The sequence below is a fragment of the Homo sapiens genome, chromosome 2, assembly GCF_000001405.40.
Source record: "Homo sapiens chromosome 2, GRCh38.p14 Primary Assembly".
Taxonomy (NCBI): domain Eukaryota; kingdom Metazoa; phylum Chordata; class Mammalia; order Primates; family Hominidae; genus Homo; species Homo sapiens.
Genome location: NC_000002.12, coordinates 103871561 through 103896210, shown reverse-complemented (window position 1 = coordinate 103896210; position 24650 = coordinate 103871561). Strand labels below are relative to the sequence as shown.

At 35.2% G+C, this 24650-nt stretch overlaps 1 long non-coding RNA gene across 1 annotated transcript in view; it reads right to left on the bottom strand.

The window, feature by feature from the left end:
• LINC01965 (long intergenic non-protein coding RNA 1965) overlaps positions 1-21922 on the bottom strand; it is a 205982-nt gene extending 184060 nt beyond the window's left edge. The window contains exon 1 of the long non-coding RNA XR_001739621.2: positions 21766-21922. This is a non-coding gene — a long non-coding RNA (long intergenic non-protein coding RNA 1965). The remainder of the gene's footprint in view (positions 1-21765) is intronic.
• Positions 21923-24650: the final 2728 nt, after the last annotated feature.

The following is a 24650-nucleotide window of genomic DNA, read 5'->3' as shown; positions in this document are numbered from 1 at the left end:
ATTGAGGGTAGGGAAGGGAATGGTGAGAAAGGGAGAGAGAGAGAGAGAACAAGAGAGCCCATAGAATACACTGATCCTAGAAAGAATTGTTGATTATATGCTCTTTCAGTCCAACTGAAAAGCAAAATGTCACATTTCAGGTTCACATATTAAAATATGAGGTTCTATCTCGTGGAAATGGTTTAAAAATTAAGTTGGGAAACAGTGAATAAGAATAATACAGAAAATGTATAGGTCGATATTGATTACCATAGGCGAGTGACTTCACAATGTTAATCTTCTCAGTCACCATTTCATGTTCTGTCCATCTCAAAAACATGTCTATTTGCAAGAACCTCCCTATTTTATCCCATTCAGCCATATTCAGAAGAACACATGCCATGTTCTTAGTTTGTATGAATAGTTCAGCTTTTGAAAACATTTCGTCATTATTAAGTCTGTCGAGTCACTAAGCCAAATCAGTTGCCATCTTGTCATCACTAAACACATAGGGAAATTTGCTCTTTTAATTCAAGATTGGACAACCACAGACAGTTATTGTTCAGGTGATGAGATGTTTGCTTGTGGATTATAGTTACTGGCACTGGAAGTAGGAAAGGAAACAAAGATAATTTGCTTTTCATAAAACTTCATAACACGGCACTGGTACTCCCCTGGAATGTTTTATGATGGTCATCAGCATTTGGGTAATATTAGTTGATTAATTACTTTACCAATATTTTAAAGTAGGCTGGTCTTACAAAAGTTAGCTCTTTGCATAGCACATTCTCTTAATTATATTCTGTCAATGTCTAGTTTTTTAGATTAAACATTCATAAATATTTATATAACTTATATCGGGCCATTGCACATGTATTTATTGGTGCTCATACTTGTTTATATTATTTTGTTTTGATCATAAGTGTAGAGAGTGGAGCTTCTAGTAGAAAGTCAAGGCAATTGACATTTCATAAAAATGATTATATATTACATGTTTGAAAAAATGTGAGAATGATTATATATAAATCGCTCTGTACTAGAATTAAAATTTGAGTGGTGTTACTAATGCTGGCATGAATAAAAACTAAAAACGCAATGGAACAAAATACATTTAAAAATATAACTAAAAGAATAAAATTATATTTAAATTTAGAAAATGCATAAAGGAAAAGGAAGTAAAGTATGACTAATCAGGAGAATTGATGCAGCTTTGAGAATTTTGGTAAATATTAGACAGAAATTATGTTTGTTATACAGTGAATTGCCTCAATATGCTGGATTTATACTCTTGGTATATATACTCGGTTTTTTTTAATTTTATTATTATTATACTTTAAGTTTTAGGGTACATGTGCACAACGTGCAGGTTTGTTACATATGTATACATGTGCCATGTTGGTGTGCTGCACCCATTAGCTCGTCATTTAGTATTAGGTATATCTCCTAATGCTATCCCTCCCATACTTGGTTTTTAAGGTAAAGGCATTTATAATTCATTTAATTTGTTTTATTGTTTGGGGGTAGAATTGACTTCAACATTTTAATTAATGACTCAACAATGAGTTCAAGAACATCAAGAGAAAAAATCAATTAGATATAAAAGAGCATCTAAAATATCTGGATTCAAGTAATGAAAAAGTTGCTTTAAGGTAGAGAATTAGCAAGTTAAAATTGACCAAAATAATGACTAAGAAAGGAAACGAAAAGAAGAAAAAAGTATTGTTTAACATGATGCTAGTGGTATTGAAAAAAAAGTCTTCCAGAAACTATTTAAGGAAATTATTTAAATCATCTAGAGAAACTCTTAAATGAATTATTTGAAAAAGTTGAAAATGTGAGAAATAGCTGGTTAATAGAGGATCCAGCTGAGTAATTAAAAAGGGCCAAGCTCTAGGAACTGTTGAAGTGTGAAATTGATTTGGGATGATGTAGATATCTGAATTTCATTACATATAAGAATATCCGTTCATGTAGAATCTACTACAGATTTTATTTTAAATAATATATTCATTGTTTCAGGAGGTATAATCTCAAACCCAGGGTCATTATCAGATTCTCTGGATTTTGTGTTATGCATGTTTATATCTCAAGCATCTTCAACAATGGTTAGCACATCAGGCCTTTGCTACATGTTTGTGGAATAAAAGAATAAATGAATGAATGAATCAATTAATTAATTTATCAGCATAGACATGGATGACTATTTTGGGGTTCCATTTTGGTAAAAAAAAAGCATTTAAAACTTACTATGTATAAGGCACTGTGTCTTGTGCTACAGAGGATAAAAAGACAAGCTTTCTGCCACCAAAAGATATAAAATTTAGTTAAGTAGATGACATGGATAGAAGTATGTATAAAATAAGGCAAAGTATAGTTAACATAGTAGTTGAATGTATTGTGATTGCAGTGACAGTTTGGGCTACTGTGGGGCAGATGGAATTATTTTTGTTATCTAGCTGGTAGGTAAGAATCACGTAAAATAAAAAGTGGAAACCACAGCAAAGTAAAGGCAAAAGCATGAATTTAATTTTCCATTTAAAAATTCTGAATTAGAGGGGAGAGTCTAGGTGAAGCAGATAAAATATTGATATATTGACTTGTGCACTGTTACTTGATTATTTATTATCAGAGTGTAGAGAGCTGGGCCGAAAACCCTTCAGGTAGGTCTATAGTTAAATGACACTGAGGCAATGGAAATGGCATTTGGAAAAGCCCAGAAGGAAAATTTAAAGTCCAGTTCCTCTTAGTCATATGTATGGTTCTTCCAAGTTTCTGCAAAGGCAGCTCCTATCACCACAACCACAGTCAACTTTATTCATTTTAATATATTTCACCTTTCCTTTAGGAATTAAGGCGAATTTCCCCAAAGTGTTTATCTAAAAAATATTTATCCTATTCTGAGGCCAATAAGTATGGGAAGTTCTATACTAAAGGTATAGATTACTGAAACTTTTCCTTAGTCTCCCCATCTGAGATTTTTATGTTGAAAGCATTTCAGTGTTAAGCTATAAAACACAGTTTCTCAAAAAATAATGATAAAACATATTATAATAATTATGAATCATGCTTATGATGAGTATTTGTAAAATATTTTTATTCTTTATTTGTCTGAGGATAAACACATTTGTAAAACCTTGATGATAGTAGAGTAAAAATATTCTGTATTCAATTTTTGACTTCAGAAATCTAGTATAATATTTGATGGTATATAATGTCAAGACAGAATTACATTATTTTATTCACTTGAAAATAATACCTACTTTTAAAATGAAAAAGTTTAAAATAATGCCACATGTGGCCAGTATGTCTATAAACCTTCCCAAATGTGTTAAATTTGTGTTAATATTTTATATTTGACTAACATTGCAATATATTGTAATAATTGTAAATAAGGCTTTAGATTCACATTCTTTTAAGTCAAAAAAGTAAACTTTTAACATACTTTTTTCTTTTTATAGTAACAGGGAAAAATTGCTTGGTGATGGATTAATAATATAGGAGGAGTTTCTCTTCTATGCATTTTTATTCATGGAATGTTCCCCTATTTTACTTTGTAAAGGAAGGTTTCAACACCAAGTTTTGTTTAGGAGCTAAATCATTAAGATTACTAAGCACTTATCAACACCAGATATGTGTGTGCATGTGTGTATACATACACACATACATAGATATATATGTATGTATATAAAATAAAAAAGCAAGTGTATGCATGTCAACAAGTTGCCTCACAATCAAGATCAATAAACAAAACCATAAGGCTGTAGAAGAACCCTCCCCCTCCTCCAATTCATAGATGAATAGAATCAATGCTTGAGAAAATTTCCCTGGAGGGTACAGGGTGGAATTTGGAAACTGTAAAAGGAGCAATGAAAATGGGAAGAGCAGATGGAAGCTATTAAATGAGAATAACATTGCCTCTCACAAAGACTCAAATCAAATGTCATGAACTTCTATTATTGACAACACAGGCAGGCAGCACAGTTATCTTTGGGCTTTAAAAAATACATTATATGCAGTATTACACTATAAATAGTTATAAATTCTGCCTCAGCAAAGAGTCATGCACCTGGTAGGTACACAATAAAGATTTTTTGATGATGTTATTCTAATTTTAATAGGGTCACATGTCTAGAAATATTAAAGAAAAAATAAAGATTGCTGAAGGACTTAGTTTACAGTCCACATTGTAAAAATGAAGAAATCCTAAAAATATCTTAAATAGAAAAATGATTTATTTTAATCTCTAAATGATCTACTTGTAGAAAACAGTATTTGATGCTTTGATATAATGTTTTTAAATAGAATTACCAGTGATTCTTACTTCTTTATCAGACATAATCAGGCGCTCCTGACACATGCTTCCCACCTGGATTCCCTTCTTGACCTCTCCATCCTGGATGGAGCACTTTAACGCCTTATGAAGGCATGAAACTATTGAGGGATTTGCAAATGAGTTTCTTCAAATAGGGCTCAGGAGTCTGCAGGTCATGTTGATGTACTGGCTTGATCTCCTTCTGCAATCATGTGGTCTCTTGATCTCCCATTAGCCCAGCTGTTGGTGCACGTGTGAGCACAGATGATGGTCAATCCCTCCTTGCCTCCCTCCCCCACCTGCTTGACTTCTTCCAGTGGGCACTTTTGGGCGAATTAGATATTTTCTACAAAATCTCATGTTTACCAATATCCTTTCATTCTCCTCTTCACCTCATTTTCTTCCATTGCTTGCTATACCATCATACCGGGCAATTTGGACATGACACAACAACTAAGAAATTACATTTCCTGATAAAGAAGGAGGAAGAGGAGGAGGAGATGAGAAGTAAGGTAGGGGAGGGGGGAAGAAAAAGCCATTCCATTACTTTATTGGCATCAAATAATAAATGAAAGACTCAAGAGACTGATTTTTCTTCTTCTTTTTTTTTTTTTTTTTTTTTGGTTTCTCCATGTTTTAATGATTTTGCAAAGAGCACCTCACAACCCACATGCTTCCCTGAAGGAAGTATCTCTAGGGTACCTGTTAATTCCAGAATAACCACAAGACTACTCTAGTGGAGAACCTGATTTTCATGATTTTTGTACCCCCTACACAAGAAGACTGGGCTGCATTTCATAGCCAACAGGTAGCCTTGGTGGAATTGTCCTGGATCTTGAAAGAATTGGTAATTTTTTGCTTCAGAAAATATTGAAATCACTGAATTCTACAGTTGAAATAATATTTCTTCTTAAAATTGTAGAAAGTACTTGTAAATGAATCATGTCTAAAGCTATGTGACTTACACTGCAGGTTTCTATCTCCTTATTCATGATGGTTGTTACCCGTAACTTCTGTTAGAGTTGACTGATTCCTAACTTCTCTCAGCCCAGTTCCTGATGGTACCTCGTATGGACCAGAGTCAGCCAAGCTCCTTGATCAGGGACAGCAGACAAGCTGCCCAATCAAAGAGATCTGAAATTGACTGACTAATGAAATTATTTATCCCCTGGTGGTGTAATCTTAAACCCTTTAGTCCACAGCTGGAGGTGATCAGTTAATTCTCTAAAAGGGTTCAATTTGCCATAGTTAATGAATTAAATTATTTAAAACCATACTTACTTGCAGAATACAGACTTCTCCAACATTTATTCTAGAGAACTTTTAGGAGCTCATTTTTGTTCTTATTTCAAGTTTATTTTTTTTATTGTGATTGTAATAACTCTTAATTTAATATAAATGTAGTAAATCACACATTTGAATGTTACTTGTTTGCATGGCTTCTAAATGCTTAACTCCTGTTTTAATAAGAGTGTAATAATATTAAGAATCAATTAGCAAGGAGAAATACAGAAAGTAATATTTATAAAGACATAAAAGAAATACTCTGTAAATTTTGGATTTGATCACTATTTAGCTAAATGCCTTTACTCATTCATGAATTTAGTCAATATGCATTGAGTACTACTGTGTGCCAGCAACTGACAATGTTCTGATGATGGTAATGGTGAAATAACAAGGGGGCAATTGCGAACTGTGTTGTGGTGGAGCATGTACCAGGTGACGCAGGAACACTAAGACATCAACTCTAGTCGTAGGGACGGGGTGTGGTTGGAGGGTGGGATTCACAAAGGAGAGTGTGACTGACGTGGGTCTGAATGAAGAAGCAGGAATCAGGCAGGAAAAAAGCGTCACGTATGAAGGGCCAGCCATTCCATTCCCTGCTGTTTAACTAGCTGTTACAGCTTGGACAATCTACTTCTCTGGATCTGTTTCCTCAATGTAAAATTAATATAATAATAAGTAATTGTCTTAGTCCATTTTTGATTGCTTATAACAGAATACCTGATTACAACTTAATAATATTATTACAATTAACTAATTAATATTATTTAAAATTTTAAATATTAATTATATTTTCTTGTAATTATGGTGGCTCACACCTATAATCCCAACATTTTGGGAAGCCGAGGTGAGTGGATTGCTTAAGCCCAGGAGTTTGAGATCAGCCTGGGCAACATGGTGAAACCCCATCTTTACTAAACATACAAAAATTAGCTGGGCGTTGTGGTGTGTGCCTGTAATCCCAGCTACTTGGGAGGCTGAGGCAGGAGAATCGCTGGAACCTGGGAGACGAAGGTTGCAGTGAGCCAAGATAGCACCTCTGCACTCCAGCTTGGGTGAAACAGCAAGACTTTGTCTCAAACAAAAGAAGAGAAGAAAAAAAAATTAATTTCTTACCATTATGGATGCCAGAAAGTCCAACGTCAAGTGGTTGCATCTAGTGAGAGCCTTCTTGCTGGTAGGGACTCTGCAGAGTTCCAAAGCAGCACAAGGCATCACAGGGCCACTGAGAGGGGCTGACCATGCTAGCTCAGGTCTCTCTTCTTCTTATAGAGCCGCAGGCCTTACTCCCATAGTAACCCATTAATTCCTTACCTCATTAATCTATGAATGGGTTAATTCATTTTTAAGGGCACAGCCCTTGTGACCCAATAATCTTGTAAAGGCTCCACCTCTCACTACTGTGACATGGGGTATTAAGTTTTAACATGAGTTTTGGAGGGGTCAAATACTGAAAACAAAGCAGTGTGTACCTCTTAAGATTGCTGTGACTCTAACATATATAAAGTGCTTGGAGGGGCATCTGGGACATAGGATGGGTTGTATAAGTGTTCCCTAATGTTTTCACTGTACCTAGCACCTAGATAGCAGTGGACAGTAGCAAGGAAAGGGAAGATGAAGGAGTCAGAAGGCCACAAGGAATGGATTATGTAAGAAAATAAAGCATGTGGTATTTTACAGAGCATGGACTTTTTTTGAGAGCCATGGGATTATTGAAGGGTTTCAAGGAGGGAATAATGATCAGTTTCACAATATATAGTTGAGCTTGTGATCAAGGTGTTGTCTGAACTACAGGAAGGGAGTAGAAGAGGGGAAAGCTGTAGAGGGGCCCTCAGCCAAAGGATGACACTCAAAACCAACACAGTGGTGGGAAGAAGATGGTGGGATAAATCCTAGAGAATTTGCTCTTAATTTGAAACATAACCTATGCATGTATTTCCGCATCTCAGATCCCATTGTGATAATATTTGTGTATTGCTTAATTTATTTGATGTTAACATTGAGCATCATGCACTCATTCACTATTTTTCTACATTGTAAATTGTTATTTTTTAAAAAGAAGCTTGCTTAGATTTTTCCTTTTATGATTTTATCTTTATTTTTACAAATTTATGGGGTACATGAAAAATTTTGTTACATGTATAGAATGCATCGTGAACAAATCAGGGTATTTAGGGTGTCTATCACCTAAGAACAATACATTTTTGTTAAGTATAGTCACCTTCCTCAGCTAGCAAACATTGAATTTATTCCTCCTGGTTTGGTGTATGTTTCTACACTTTAATCCACTTATCTTCATCCTCCTCTTCCCTCCACTCACTTCTCTGTTTCTATCTTTCCACTCTCTACCTGTGTGTGATCAAATGTTTTAGCTCCCACATATGAATGAGAACACGAGGTATCTAAGGTATATTTCTTTGTGCCTGGCTTATTTCACTTAACATAATGACCTCTGGTTCCATCCATGTTGCTGCAAATAACATGATTTCGTCCTTTTTCATGGCTAAACAGTATTCCATTGTGTATATGCATATATGCACCACATTTTCTTTATCCATTCATCACCTGATGAACACTTAGGCTGATTTCATATCTTTGCTATTGTGAATTTTGCTGCAATAAACACATGAGTACAGGTATCACTTGGATATATTGATTTCTTTTCCTCTGGGTAAATTCCCAGTAGTAGGTTACCTGGATCAACTGGTAATTCTATTTTTAGTTTTTTGAGAAATCTCCATATTGTTTTCCATAGTGGTTGTACTAATTTACATTCCCACCACTAGAGAGAGTTTTCTCCATATCTTCACCAACATGTTTTTGTGTGTGTGTGTTTTTAATAATAGCCACTCTGACTGGGGTAAGATGATATCTCTTGTGGTTTTGATTTACATTTTTCTGGTGATAAGTAATGTCGAGCACTTTTTCATATGCCTGTTGGGTGTTTGTATATCTTCTTTTGAGAAATGCCTATACATGACTTTTATTTTAATGGAATTATTTGTTAATTATTTATTCTCATATGTTTTAGTGGGAAGTATTTGATACATGCATAAGAATATAGATGTCATACATATACCTTATAAAGCATAATAATAAAGCAAACGCCTCTGAAACAAATACCCAACTTCAGAAATTGAATCCAGCAAAGATTCTTTTCTAGACCAAATTCTACTCAGGCTCTTCTGAACTTTCTTTCAAGTAGCTTTTGACTTTTGGACTTTTGTGTTCATTTCTGCACTGTCCAATTTTAGTAAGAATCCTAAGTCAGTTTTTAAGTCAGAATCTCCTATCCTCCATATCTGATCACCCTCGATATCTAATCAGGTTCCTCATCCTCCACCACCTCCCATGTGATGTCTGCACCCCGGCTTGTCTTCAGAGAAAATTCTATTTGTTTGGTTTTGCCAGAATTCCCTCTTACTCCTGATGTTTCCCCTTGGTAATATTCTATCCACTGATCCCCACCCTGTTACTTGGCTATACATTCCTACATGCCTGTGCTGTATTCAGAGCCTAATCCAATCTCTCTCCCATTGCAATGGTCCCTATACCTACTGAAATGGCCTCTTATTGAATAAATTCTGTCTTACTGTCTTTAACAAATGTCAGCAACTATATCTCTTTAATAGATCTTAGCATTACCATTTATATCTCTTGTAGCTCTCTCCTGTCAAATCCCAAACTCTTGTCTCTCCCTTAGATGTAAACATTATCCTGTATTTAAAAAAAAAAACTATTACTTTTATTTATGGATTTATCACGCTTGGACATACTCCTATGTAATGTATTATTTATTATTTCTTAACTTTATTTTTAAGACCTAATTATTACCTTTAGTAATAAAGTCTAAAATGTAACTTGGTGATTTTTCAACATGATGTAACTAAGATTCATATTTGTTGCATGTAGCTCCAGTTTACTCATTTTCACCACCATATTTCATTCCATTATATAATTGTAGAAATACATTTGAATTTACTTGAGTGAGTTAGTTACTTCTGTTCTGACAAACAGTGCTGCTATAAACATTTTCTTACATGTTGAGTGATGCATGTGTGCCAGAGTTTCTCCAGGAGTGAAATTGCTAGATCATAGGATACATGAAGGTCAAGTAAACTAGATAATGCCAAGTTGTTCACACACAAGTTATGCCAATTTTCAGTGCCATTCTCAATGCTAGCAGCTTTGGGAGTCCCTGGTTTTTCTATATCCTTGCCAATATTTGTTATTGTTAGACTTTTACCTTTCTTTTCTTGAAAATCTAGAGGTTGCAAGTGGGATATTATTATGATTTAATTTACTTAATTATTGTGGAGATCAAATGACTTTACATATATTTATTGATTCTTCATGCTTCTTCCTCCAGTCCATATCTATTATATTGTTTGCCCTTTTCTCTATTAATTTTTTAATTAATAGAGTTCATAGAATCTGAATATTAGTTGGTTATGTATGTGGCTAATATCCACTGTCAGTTTGTACTTTTTCTTTTTACTTTTTTATGGTAGTCTTTTGATGAATAGAGGTTCTTAATTTTAAGGTAATTTGTTGTCAGACTTTTCCTTTAATTTAGTGCATCTTGTGCTTTATATATAAACTCCTTCATCCTGAGGACCTAAAAACATTCTATACTTTCTTCTAAAGGTTGTAATGTTTTCCCCTTTACATTTAGGTTTTAAGCATATTTAACTGATTTTTATGAGGTAAGGATCTTCCTTTTTTATTTTGTTCTCTTAATATGTGCTATATGCTTTAACTCATGCCAGGAATACAAAAATAAAATGCAATAAAACAATATAAAATAATACAAAGAACAGTATGCCTAATTTCAAGAGTGTTAGACTAGTAAGAAAAAATAACAGTAGTCATACCTTGAGTTTGTATGGTACTTTACAAATTAAACAGCCCTTCATATAACCCAAGATCCACTGGCTAAACTTTCTAAAAGCAAATCACAGAATGTCTTTCCCTTGTTTAAAACCTTTCATGTTTTCTTATGCTGTCCAAAATAGGATATAAACTCCTTGACTTAGTCAACTTGGTACTAGATAATTTTGCCCCCTTTTACCTCTCTAGATACTGCTGTACCCACTAGACATTCTTGTCTACCTATTTCCAGTTGTTGGGCTCAGAAAATGTACCCCAAATTGTGGCACTTTGGTGTGCTAAGTACTTTGAACTACAGGCGATAGAGAGGCCTCAGAACCAGCCTCCTGCTCATCTTCCTTCCCCGAAGCATTCGTAGAAACCAGAATTCCTCTTTCGTAAGTTGGGTCATAGAAACTGGAACATTAAACAAGCCATAAAACCTAAACGGTCACTCTCTTTCTTCTCCTGTTTCCTTTGAAGATCCGCATTTCAGAGGGGTCCTGCCTCATACCTGGAAGGAAGAAATGCTACACAGAAGCCAAGAAGAGTCTGAGCAGATAGGCCTTGCTGGGTTTCTCTCCTCACTGGATTACTGTTAGATCATACCCTTTGTCCCTACATAGCTGCCCATTCTTCATTGAACCTAAGCATAAAAACAGTTTTTCCTAATTATTGGGGTCTTCACTTTTAAGCGTTCTGTGTCATGTAAAACTTTGATGAAATAAATTTGCTATGCCTTTCTTTGTTAACTTTTTTGTTGTTGTTGTTATAGTACTATCAACCATGACTCTTATGATGGATTAGGAAGGTATTATACCTTTTCCACACTTACACAGACATATGAATTACATGTTGTTCAAATGCCCCATGCCATCTTTTAATCCTATTCCTTTCTTCTGCTATGAGAGTTGTAATTTAGTTAAGGGGCGGCTGCAATTCTAGACAAGAAATGATGACTTCCTAATTCAGTGGATGTGGAAATATATAATGAGAACATCATTTGAGAATTATGAAGAAAACAGACTTTGTAAGTATTTGAGGGCTAAGTAGACATGCACGAATGAGTGATAAAGGGTACAGATGACCATTGATCTCTTCATTGTCATATAGCAAACTTCCTTATATACTGGAAGATATCTGTCGAATGAATGAACAAATGAATGAATGAATGAAAAAGTAGGCGTAAAAACAGTCCTTTTATTTTGGCAACTCGGTTATTTGGCTATTTATTTTAAGTCTGATTATCTGTATAGGTTTTTGCTTTGTTTTGTTTTTTGCTGTATCCTTAGGTAAATCTATACGTAGCCACCTAAAATAATGCTGTTTTTAACTATTATAACAAGGTAATACCTCTGTTAGAACAGAATTTTTAGTAAGCTCATGAACCATGACTTTGTACTTCTATGGACACAACTAACCATCTTTAAAGAAAAATCTTGATTGAAGGCTTTAGCATTGGAAAGATTTATTGGATTTTAACGTGCACCTAAAATATATTTAAAAGTACCTTTTACTTAGTCACAGAAAACTAATGGCTTTAATGAAAGAAGAATATCAAGGTATACATATAATTTTAGTTCATGATTTCACTAATGATCCTAATTATTGAAGCTCTCAGCCAGCACTCATGCTTTTACTAATTTTTTAGCTGGATCGGGTACATGTAAATTTCAACTAATAAAATGCATTCTTATATTTATTTAAAATTATATATACGTATTATTTTTTCCTTCATGCAATTTTCCTGTGTGAGGGAGGGGTGCTACTCCTTTTTAAATTATTATTTTCACAGAAATTAAAATCCCACCAAATCTGCAGTGATACATGCACCCTGTAATCAATGGCACTCCATGTCCTTTCAGGCTCATTTCTGCACTCGGGAGCCGACTGAGCTCAAAGGACAGCCCATTCTTGAGGCTGCAGACCTTTCTCTGATCAATACCGGCTTCAGGATCTGTGAGGTCAAGTCTGTGCCCTTTCTTGCTACAGAGCTACTTCTAGGCAAGGTCGCTTCTTTGTGCTCCTGGCCTCTTGCTCACTTCCTTTCTGTTGGAATCATTGGGTCTCTGCTTTCAAGCTCCCTGCACTCCGGACTCACAGCCGCTTTCCAGAGAAGGCCCCAGCCTGGCTCACCTCCTCAACCAGCACCACAGCCGCTTCTCATATCCTCACCAAGAGTTGATCTGGGCAAGACCTCTACAGAAACAAATCGGTCGTTGCTTTTCCACCTCCTAATCCTTTATGTATAGCCTATTTCTCTAGTTTTCTAACAAGTCCCCTGAGTAAAAATGATGAATAGTAGAAAATGCATGGACATTGGGGATGGACAAAGTTCTTTTTTCTTTTTACCTGTGTGACCTCTTAGTTTCAATATTTTCAGAATATTGTGTGAAAATTAAATATCAAATATAGACATAACATCTTGATACAAAATGAGTGGTACATAAGTGCTAGATGCTACTGCTGCCTGGGGTCAACCTCACTCTATGGAAATACCTAAACCTTTTGCACACGGCATTTTTTGCCTTTTCTAGGTTTTAAACTAACTAACTAAATAAATAATGCACTAATTAATTTTACCCTTCTCTCTCCTTTGATTCTCCCTCCTCTGGAATGTACTTAGCATTAAGTTCATAACATAAGCTCATCTGGAAGAAATAAAAGTTAAGGCTCTGTAAATTAGTTAATACAAATCTTTACTACTTCTGACTAATTATATCTGTCTAAATCTCCAAAGTTTTCTGGACTTTCTGTCGGCTCTGTCACCTTATGCATCAGATGTTATCAAAGATTTTGAAGACCAGAGCATGAAATAGGCCTCAATTCTGTGGAGATGCCCCTCAGTTTCTCAGGCAAGAGTTAGTGCTGGGTGCTTGCTTTTCCATTACTACATCGGGGACACTCAATAAAGTGTCCTCTTCAGTAGAAAGTGCATTTTTTTGGGTGGGGATATAAGTTTTTTTTTTTTTTGAACCACTAATCCTGCAATCGTGATGGAATGATTCCTTTCTAGGCTTGCCATCTCCAAGTTAGATGGTTATTATTACTCTGAATCAGAGAAGGTGGACACAAGTAAGAAAGCACATGGCATTTGGATAAATGGTTGCTGTTACCTTTAAATACAGTTTGGGACTTCTCCCCAGAGTGTCTGCTGTAACTAATAGGAAATCCAGGTAGAGACACCTGGCACAGCCCTCATCAATTTATCCACCCCGCTATCCATTCTTTCAACAAGGGCTTGTAGGTAGCTACTCTTGCTGGACACTGGGCTTGGCTCATAATATGCCTTCAAAAATATTGATAAAGTAAAGAAAAAATGAAGAAAACAAAGAAGAAAATGAGGAGTTGAAGAGGTCCTGTCTCAGTGTGGTGTTTTGCTCCTGCTCACCATGGCCTGTCTTCCTTACAGCTCTGTCCCAGACTCACAGTCTTCTCTGTGTGCCAGCACTATTTTTCTTTCTCTCCACTTCCTGAGGCATAAGCAATTGCCCTGGATATTTTTTTACAAAGCTATCCACACTTTAAAACAACGAAAAAAATGTAAGCACAAGGACTGAAGCACAGGTTGGTACTGGAATTTGCAAATGGATTAGAGGAAGAATTCTCTTTAGCAATAGTGACTTTATGGGGCCTCCCATCAGAATATGTGGAATGTCATCAGTTTCTGACTATGGGATACTTAATAGGAATTTTCCTGCAGGTCTTCATTCATTTTGTGCTGGGTATGGAACTGAGAGTCCCTCTCCAACTAGAAGACTGGAATGTTGTAGTGTAGCCCACAATCTTGTCAAAGGTAGGTCATGAGTGTCTGAAGATTTCTTAGGCTTACCAACTGTGAGGATGAGTTCCACTAGCTTCTGAAAGATCTAATGCCCTTCTGGGCCTTTTTAAGGAAATAAACCATAAAAGTTATACCAATTTTCTCTACGTGTACCCACTCCCCCATTTTCATTATGTCTCCTATTAGCAATCTTATAGAATTGAGTACATTCAGAATGTAAGGTATGGCTGAATAGATTGGCATTTCCTGCTTGATTTTGCTTGACTTATTAATACTAGGAAAAATGGGGCATTCTAGAAAGTGAGACCTGGAAGATGAGTTTTGTCAAGTGGACATTTATCCATGTCTGAAATATTGACTGAGTTTCTTTGACGCATGCCAGGCACTGTTCTAACACCCTTGATATTGGATCTTTTCAATGGCATTTATGAGAAATGTAGAATTATTAGACTGATTTTTCAAATGGGTTGATAAAGTTTAAGAAAATTTTTAGACTTGTCTGAGTTTATGTCACCTGTTAGGGGCAGAACTGGAATTTCACTATGGACAGCACAATTTCAATACTGAGATCACTGTCGATCAGCTATAGCCCTTCCAAGTAAGCAGACAGGATCCTGTCCATATGTAGTTTATAGTGTCTAGCTGGAAAGATGGATATGTAAACAACTATTGACCTGTGACATGAAGGATGGTGGGAGCTTTGAGAGCACATAGCCAGGGCAGTCAGGAAGGGGCACTTAGGGTGAAACCTGGAAAATGATAGGAGGTCAGTAGCAGGGAAAACACCAATCTAAAGATAGCTTTAAAATGATGGGAGCAAAAAGAGTGAATGTGCATTATTCTCCAGGCATTTTCTTCATCTAAAGGTACTGCTTTTTTAAATTTCTTGATAGATTTGAAAATGTCAACAGCAACGGGTATAAATTAAGAAGAAAACCTTTCTTTGAAATAAAAATACAACAGTTTTTCTTCTTTCTTCCTGAAGTAACTTCTGCTTATTTCCTAATTTCTTTCTTTTTCTAAGACTGGGACTCCTAAACTTTCTAAACTATTAATGATGGGTTTGGAATCATGATGCATTTCATCTTTTTTCCTCACTGCAGGCTGCAAGCAAAGGGTAATGTCTGTAGAAAGTTATAAAATCACAAAAATGAGGATTCAGCATCAAATTACCATCTTGCCCTTAAATATCATGCTGCTTCTGTTATTCTAAAGCAGGTGAATGTTGGATACAGATGCAGCTCGAAGCCATTATTCTAACACACACTGTTAGTACAGAGATTTCATTTGCAGAAAGTCACTGTGTCCCATCATGCTTGGAAACCTAGAACATGCTCTGCATTCACTCAGTGGCAGTTGTGTTTACATTTTAACGGCATGCAGTGCACTGAGAAGTTGGGTCCTGCGCACATCCTTACACATATGAATAAATAATGTTAAAGCTAATAAGATCTCTGAGAGAAAATGATGATTGTCTTTAATCACTAACCTTAAGCAGCAGCGAACCATATTATCAAACACCTTCATTTCTTATAAAACTATCTATCACACACAATATAGACCTGATGAAAAAGAAGGTGGAAGTAATCAGGACAGAATGCCAATTACCTCATTACTTGTCATAGCACATTGTAACTGGAAATTGCTTCTTTCAGGTTCTGTTTGCTCAGGCAATTACAATAAACTCTCTGCTTGACATGTTGTTTGCACAGATGTAGTGCATTAATAAACATGAGGGCTAATCTGAATTATTGAACCAGCCACAATAATTCCAACAAAGGATTTATAATAAGTCCAAGAAAGCTGAGGTATCACTGGAATTCCCTGTAAGCAACACTGACATACTTTATCACATGTAAAATCCTCAAATTTAATGTACAGTACTGGAATATGTCCCCTAGGTATTTTATGTTTTCTGTGGCTCTAAGTCCTAAGCAACTGCCATCATGAAGGAGAATCAAGACTGCTAAGGTAAGTGGCAATATCACAGACTTAGAGGAAATTACTTTATTTGCTGCATAGCTTGCACATGTTGAGCTCTTTTTACCCTATTTTTACAAATCTAATTTTATTTAAAAAAAAAAACCCTTCTGTGGTAGTTGTAAAACATTAAATGTTGCAAAGTATCATGGAAATGTACTGTTATCCGAAGAATGGAATGAAAGATGTGTGAAATTCCTTTCCTGCTCATATTCCTAGAAAGGGCATCGTACAAATATAGAAAGCCTTGCAGAGAACAGCCTCCCATCATGGTCAAATATGAATAATCTTTCAGAGCAAAGCTCACAAAGTTTTCTTTACCTAAATTGAGTCCGTCTAACTGAGTTCACTTTTCCTATAAACGTTTCTTATTTAAAGAAATAATTTTAATGTCAAAAATATATCCACTTGGAAAAATTGTGTGCCTCATCAATTTCTACCATACAGCCATACAGAGGCTGGATTTTAAAATAACTTTGCTTTTTGCCATGTGAGTAATGAATAGAATTAGAAATAGAAATGTCTTCAGAAGAGAATTGGATGCATTTAGCATAATGATTTCATGGGGAGGGGGGTTATTAATGCTATTGACTGTGATTGGGAGTGTGTTCCTAGCCTTTGGAGTTCTGGGCAGGGTACATTTGGCAAAGTCTCTCAAGACAGACTCTGGTGTTGTAAAAGGGACAAGATCCTGTCAGTGAATAACCATAGCAATTTTTACATTCTTGGGCAAAGCCATACTCACAGAATAGAGTACCATAAGGTTTCATCATTTCTCCCCACGTTGAAGCAACTTACTTCTCTCTCAGTTTCCTCTTATGTTCACTCTCCTTTTGATACCATGTAATTAATTGCACTCTAATATGGGTGCAGTGGTTTGATTATAAATCTAAATTACAGTAGCAGCAAGAAGCCACTCAATTGTAATATATCTATATAAAAAAGGAGACAAGTTACCACCGTAGAACCCCTTTCAAATGAAGAACACATATTGTTCCAACTCTAAGCATTGCTCAGATGTGCAGTCACTAGGCAATAACACTGAAATTGTCAATTAATCTCAGAAAAATTTTGAGGACTAGTTCTTGTATGTTTTCCTTGAATTTTGAGTTCTCAAAGCATAGAAATTAAGAAGTAAAACAGGCTTTTTTTGGTCTTAAAATGGACTCTCTAGGTTTTGAGCAACAGTTAAATGTAAAATGAAAGTTTGCATGTAAGATTTCTCCTAATTCAAACTCACAGATTCATATAAAAATTTAGATATTGTCACTGTCCTTTACTGACTCTATTCCACCTCAGCTCTGGTCTCGCTGCCCCAACACCCTCTCTCTCAGCATCTGGAGTCACCCCTCTCCACCCCCAACTTCATGAAATGCTGCTTTACTAGGACAGAAACTGCACTTTCTATGGCTTAAAAGAAAATGTGAATCAAGATATCTCAAACACTAATGGGATATATTAAAGCAATTTAATTATTTTAATCTCTTTCATATATCATGAAATTATGTAGAACAATTTCATTTAAGTGTTACCATCACTGTTGAGACTTCAATTGTGAATTGTTACACCAGCAAATATTGAAGAACATGAGTGCTAGTGAAGTTCTATTGCACTGTATGCAAGTGAGGACCAGAATGACACCAGGAGGAAAATTTCCATCATAATCAACTTATTCATTCCGTAATAACCTCCTTAGGAATCATACTTCAAGATTATAATGTTCCGTGATTAGTTTCAGTCCAAAGTTAATGTTGTTCTTTGAGTTCGTGTTTGCTTTACTCAAGTTATAACACTCTCACATAGAGCAAGAATAATTTTAATTATAAAATAATTATAAAAATAAATTGAATAAAATAAATGAACAATAGGTTAAAGGAAGCTGAATTAGACCATTTAAATACCGCATAGAGTAGGCCTTCTTTGAAAGACAAAATACATATGAAAGTTAAAAGTAAGGAAAGTCAGGTTCCATGAAACAAAAATTACTTTTCAGTTAATTTTAACCACATAATTCCCTGTTTCATAATAAATTTTCTCTGTATTACATATAACTTGTTAAAAGGCAAGGGTGCATAGTTATCTACAACTATGTATATGTTGGGGATAGATGGTTTCCCCTATTATTTTTCAATGTTTTACACAAGTGAATATTCTAAAGCAAAAATATAAATTATATGTTTTTTCCAATGTCATCATATCAATAATTCAAATTAAATAATAGACAAATCAAAACTTAGAAAAGTCTGAATCTTCACCATTAGCTAATGCAATTTAAGCATATGTATAATTGGAGTATGTTAATAAGATTATAAATAACATTTTTAAACAAAATGTACAGTTTTGAAGATGAGAGTCTTTCAAACTTTGAAAGGTTCTTGTCTTTATATCAGATATGAACCTAGATATTTAATGCATAGCTAGATTAATATTACATTCATGTCAATATTATATATATTTCTGACATATAAAAATCGTATTAGTGTAAACTGACAGCAATAAAATCATAGTCATATAATTCATAAAAGTAGGGTAGTGAATGAAATCCATGAGAAATTTCATACTAGTTACAAAGTAAAAAGAAGATGTACTCTTATTCATTCTAGGTTAATTTAATTCCAATCACAATTATTGAATACAAGTGGATCCATTCATTTCCTAGCAAATAAATTAAATAGTAATCTGCTCTGGATCATTTGCTGTGTGTTCAGTCATTATTAAAAGCTTAGGAAACTTGTGTGAGAAACTTTAAGAGATAACAGTGTCAGCAAATTCATATAATCATATACATGTAGGCATATCATCTGCAATGGTTTCATATAAATAAATAAGTATACCCGCATACAAATATACTCCACAAAATATGTATACCCACATACAAATATATATGTACCTATAAGATGTCAATTTAACTAAGTAGTATTCACTTTTTTAAAGTTTCATTGTAATTTAGATTATTTCAAAAAATAATTAGATTTTCTGGTAAAGGTTGATCATAGTTAGGAGAGTACTTTAGATATGAAAGGTTATTATTTTAGGTCACTTATTAAACAGTCAAAATCTGGAAATTTAGTGTAAAAGAGTAAAGTGATCATTTTTAACTGGTAAAATATTGTAACTGCAGACGGTGTGCAGGGAGCTGGGAGCAGGAATGCACCACACTTGAGGTCTTAAGAGCAATAGTTGAAGCTGCCTACAGCCCTAGTGCAGTACCACGGTCTTCACAATATTTTTATTTCCACCAATTTTTTAATTGCTTTTTCTCCCTAGAAACTAATGATTTATCTAACTGAGATGTAAAATTGACATATGTTAGCCATTTCCGTTTTCAACTCCTTCTTCCATTCCAGATTCGATTAACCCCCATATATAAACTTAACAGCACTCACACACGGGGCATTGAGTACACAGATATGGAAAGGGAAATATAAATTATGTTCCAAAAATTTAAAGAATGTATTAAGTTTTGAAGTAATTGATGTTTATGGAAATTACACATTTTAGAGGGTTACAAATCATTCCTAAGATTTTTTTCATAGTACCTTTTCAAAAGTTTCCTTACATTACTATCAGATATTGTTGGAAGCAATGAAAAATATAAAAGCTACAAATAGTAATTTATCACATATTTGTAGCTAAGATACTGTTTAAACTGCATTTTAATAATTATCAGCAAACAGAATCTTAGACTTCAAAGTAAATAATCATCAGAAAATCCTCTAAGTTTACAAGAATAGTCCTTGAATTTCTAATTCCACAGAGATAAATTATGAATCATTTTTGTAAACTTTCCCTCATAGTTGCTTATTCAAATTCAAAAATTAGAGAACTCCCCAATCTTTATAAAAATGACATATATCCACAGTAAGGTCACTAAAAATACATATTGGTTACACGTTAGTGAATATCTGTAGTCCTATCAGTTCTTCCCAAACAGTTATATTTTGAGTATTCTTTATTGTTATGGTCTGTATTTGAAAAGGTTTTGAAGTGCCATTCTGTGGCAAAGTTCTCTGAGTTTAAACATGACATCAGCAAGCCATCATGAAGCCCTTATACTTCACTATAAATCTACTTCTTTCCTAGGAGAGATTAGCAAGTGAAATTGGTAGATATAATTTTAACCACATAATTCCCTGTTCCATAATAAGTTTCTCTGTATTATATTTAACTTATTGAAAGGCGCTTTACTGAGCATATCAACATGATAACACTGAATGTTATGTTTGGATCCTTCATCCTCAAAAATGGATGACGTTGGTCACATGGGTGCCATACTTTTTTGGGATGCTCTACTCAGAACTCTTTTCCAGTTCTGTATCAATTTTCACAATCCATATACTCCCAGGAAAGCAGAGTAACTTGCTACAAAATCAGAATCTGGCAGCTTTTACATATCTTTAAGAAGTTTTTTTTTTTTTAAGGCGTTCCTTTCCTATTACAGAAATACTCCAAGCAGCCTTTGAAATGCATATAGACTCTTCCTATTTTTTGTTCATCCAAAGGGGTGGGTACTCCTAGAAAGGTGAAAGGTTTTTGAACATGAGAGTTTCTTCATCTAAGAACTCCATTTACTCCTATGTGAGAAGGTAGGAAACACAAAAAGAGCAGGAGCAATCAATGAGCTTTTGCATTTCCTGGAGATGGTAAAAGACTACTAAATCAGAATGTGGGTTGCTAGACCCCTGCTGAGATGAGAAAACTGAGGCTGAAAAACAGTAAGGAACCCTGTGAGGAACTGTCAAGACCATGGAGGGAGTAGCACGGAATTATTGACTGGGAGCTTTTAGGAAGTGTTTTAGAGAAAGTTGGTTGCCTTTACTCCAGCAAGAAAAACTCAATACTGGAGAACTTGGAACACTGAAACCAGAGAACTTGCTGTGGGAAGAGACAAGTAAAAAGATTCACCACTCCATTAGACCCTCTCCCAAGGACACCACTCTGGGAGGGGCAATTACTGGACTACTTAAATGTCAGCCTGAGTTGACTGAGCAAATTTTACCAACAAAAAATTCGAGATCTCTGATGTTTGGCCGGTTTTGGAGGCCATTTTAAACTAAAACTCTTTAAAATGTCCATTTATAAAGGTTATTTTAATCACAAGAAAGTGCAGCAGGGGAGAATGGGAAAATATTTTCATAAGTGGCTGCTTGTTTGATGTTCGACCATGCTTATTTTTTCTCTATCAAATTTCCTAAATCTCATTCTTAAAAAGAAGTTCACTAAAAATAATCCAAAAATTAACTTTTGAAGCTACGAAAAATCATGAACCATTTTCCCAGTTTTCCCATTTGAGAATACAATTCAACTCTGACAATTATGTCCGTGTATATCTATATTTAAGTGCAAAACCTATGGATTTTTATTGTTTTATAAGTGAGTTGGCATCACATTTTCTTTCTTTTTCTTCCCTTCTATACCTCAGCTATTAAAAACAGTAACAAGAGTAGTTTATTTGAATCAGGATGGGTATTAAACAAAACCTCTCTCAATCAAGAACACGTAAACTTTTGCAAGCAAAGAAACAGACACTCAAAATACTGCAAGGAAGTAAGCTTACCTTTTGCTTGTTCTGTTCATCTTAATATTTCAAGTGCTACAGTGGCAGTGTCCTGCAAAGCTTCCCCACTTGGCAGAACTGCATGAACTGATACAGATTCAGAGAAAGCAAATAGGAGCTTTACCAACGAAAATGTGGAAAATCCAAGAATTAAAGTGCCGTTATTTCGATTTGAGGAGAGTACAGTCTATTTCTTAGAATATGTGACTCAGTGCATATTTCTTTGTCATTGTTTTGAGGTTCACTTAACCATAAAGAGGGAAGAGAGCTCAGTGAAGCATGGCTGGCTTGACAATAGGCTTTCTGCAGGTTAGCCAAATTTAACCGGCAAAAGCTCGCCCAAACCCTTTTGTCTGCTACATTTGCACCATAATGTCAGTTCTTCTTCGCATATTTCACAGATCAAGTCTGACCATTTATCCCCAAAGATGGAAAAAGTCATTTCTGGGTCTGTCTATAAAAGTTACTTTATAAAGTATTGTGCAATTCTATTACAAAAGCTACAAAACGGGAAAGTGCACTTCACATGGCCACAATTAGGGCTTCTGTTTCCGCTCTCCTGCCCTTGTCAAAGCTCTGATTTAGTTTTCCTCGGTTTTGTCCAAGGGTCATTACAGATGTCTGCAGATGATTAGCATCTCCCCCCACGGCCCCTCTCCAACTGGGTGATTAGCAAATTAAAACTTTGCATTCTTTTCTGTCTACTGAGACTTATTGGGAAAGATTAGCAAATGTGGCTAATTGTGGAGACCTGAGGGGGCATCAAGGTGTTTGTCTCAGAATTTTGGAAGCTAAATATTAAGTTAGCAATTGGGAAGCCCATTATGTCACATGCTCCAGCATTTAATGAAGCATTCAACTCTGAAACTTAGAAACAATTGTATCCTTGATGGGGGGGGGGGGGCGGGGGCTCCAGGAACATTTTGCATCCATGCCATACCTAAATGATGCCAACCTGATCCATTAAAAACTGGATTTGGTGTATGCCATGAACAGTGTAGGGCACATTTGCAGCTCCATTTCAGAAACTGAAACCCCTGTTCTCCATAAGGACTCAGTGTAACTTTTAAAGCGTTTACAACCTGTGAATTCGGGTAAATGCCAACCATAAATGAGGTATTGAAATGATCCAGGAGAAATTGAGTCTTCAGTTTCAAGTGGCAATTGAAATATAAGAAAAACATTCCTGGCTCCATCTTTGTTTTAGGAGAGCAAATGTTTGATTAGGTTAGCAGACGAAGGAAGGAAAAGCTTTGGCAGGCTTACCCCAACCATATAGGAGATATACAATCTACAGAGGGATCCGGCAAACGAGGCCCAAATATCAGGCTTCCATTCAAAACAGACATTCTGCAAAATATATTTCTAAATGGTAACCACAGGAGGGCATAACCATTTTTTTTAAATGTGTTCCATCTCTTCTTCATTTTTCTTATCATTCTATGGTAGTGAATCAATCAAGTGGGCACAAATATCTCACAAGGATATTTGTTGGAAAATGAAAAGATAGAAAGACATATGAAGCCACACATCGAATCAGCTATGAAATTAAGACTCCATTGCAGGTTATCCTAATTTCAACCTTCCTTGTCCATACAGCTACTGAGTCTCAAATCATTGGCAGTCAGATACTTCAGGGACTGAAACCTTCTGTTTCGTGACGTTACCTACTGGAGTAGCAGGGCACCTTTACTATGTAGAGCAAATTTGGTTACCATTACCCTATGACTCACTTCATCCTTCCACCAGGGAAGCACTGTCCCACTTGTAAAACAAAGAAGCCTATTGATAATTTCTGAAAATCCAAGTTTGATATCTGAGAACATCTGTAGTTTTCAGTCGCTGAAAAAAAAAGTTTATAATGGCATATCTCAGGCCTATTGTGATTGGCTAGAACATATGATACAAAAATATCGACATAAATCGGTCGTCTCTGACATCTTATAAACAAGCAATTCCCAAATCAATATATTGACTTAAAGATAACTAATGCAGCCTGCTGAGGTGAGCTAAGCACAATTCTTCATTTCTAGGATATTCTGGGATCACAAAACACTGTGTAAATCAAATTTGTTAAATCATCCAGCAAGATGCGAGTTATAAACAAGGATAGTATCCTGATAAACAGGATTTTATTTGTATGTTGTTATTCCTTTTATTACAAAGTTCAAGTTCTACAGCATTTCACAGAGGAATTTCAGTTTAGTAATAAGGATACATCATTAGTGGTATAATGTGCAAATGTAAACAATAATTGCTAATTGAATGTATGTAAACATTGCTGTACTTTGCCAATGCTGACATTAGAAATAAATGCAACTTTCAATAGCCTTGCCACACTCATTTGGCAACAGCGAAAGGGCTTTCTTACAAATGACTCTTGTATTATTATACCCAATATTGTTAGCATGCATTCCCGTTTTCCATTTTATGTTCCTTGTTTCTTATCAAGAAAGTGAGTATTCTCACTAAATGAGAAGAAGTGCATGATAATCTCTTCTTGGCATGCAAATTATTATTTTATCAATTAATGGATATTTTTGAAACTCTCCCTCAAAAGGAGTGGACGGGGCCATTGCTGATTTCTCTTCACTGTTCCTTCCACATCTTGCCCGTCCTAACTATAATGAAGCTTTTCTGTTCTTCACCAGCCCACAAAGTTCTCTTTCTTTTCAGAATCCTTAGCACTTACTGGTTGAATCTCATTAGCTCTTCCCTCTATACTATTTCGCTTTATTTCCTATGTACCACATATTCTTGCTATAATTTCAGGCCATGTTTAGGCATTCCCTATGTTTTCTGCTCCAATACTAGGCACATGGGGCAACTCAAAATGTACTTGCTCAGTTAGGTCTTTTTTTATTTTTATTTTTTTTGAGGTCTGA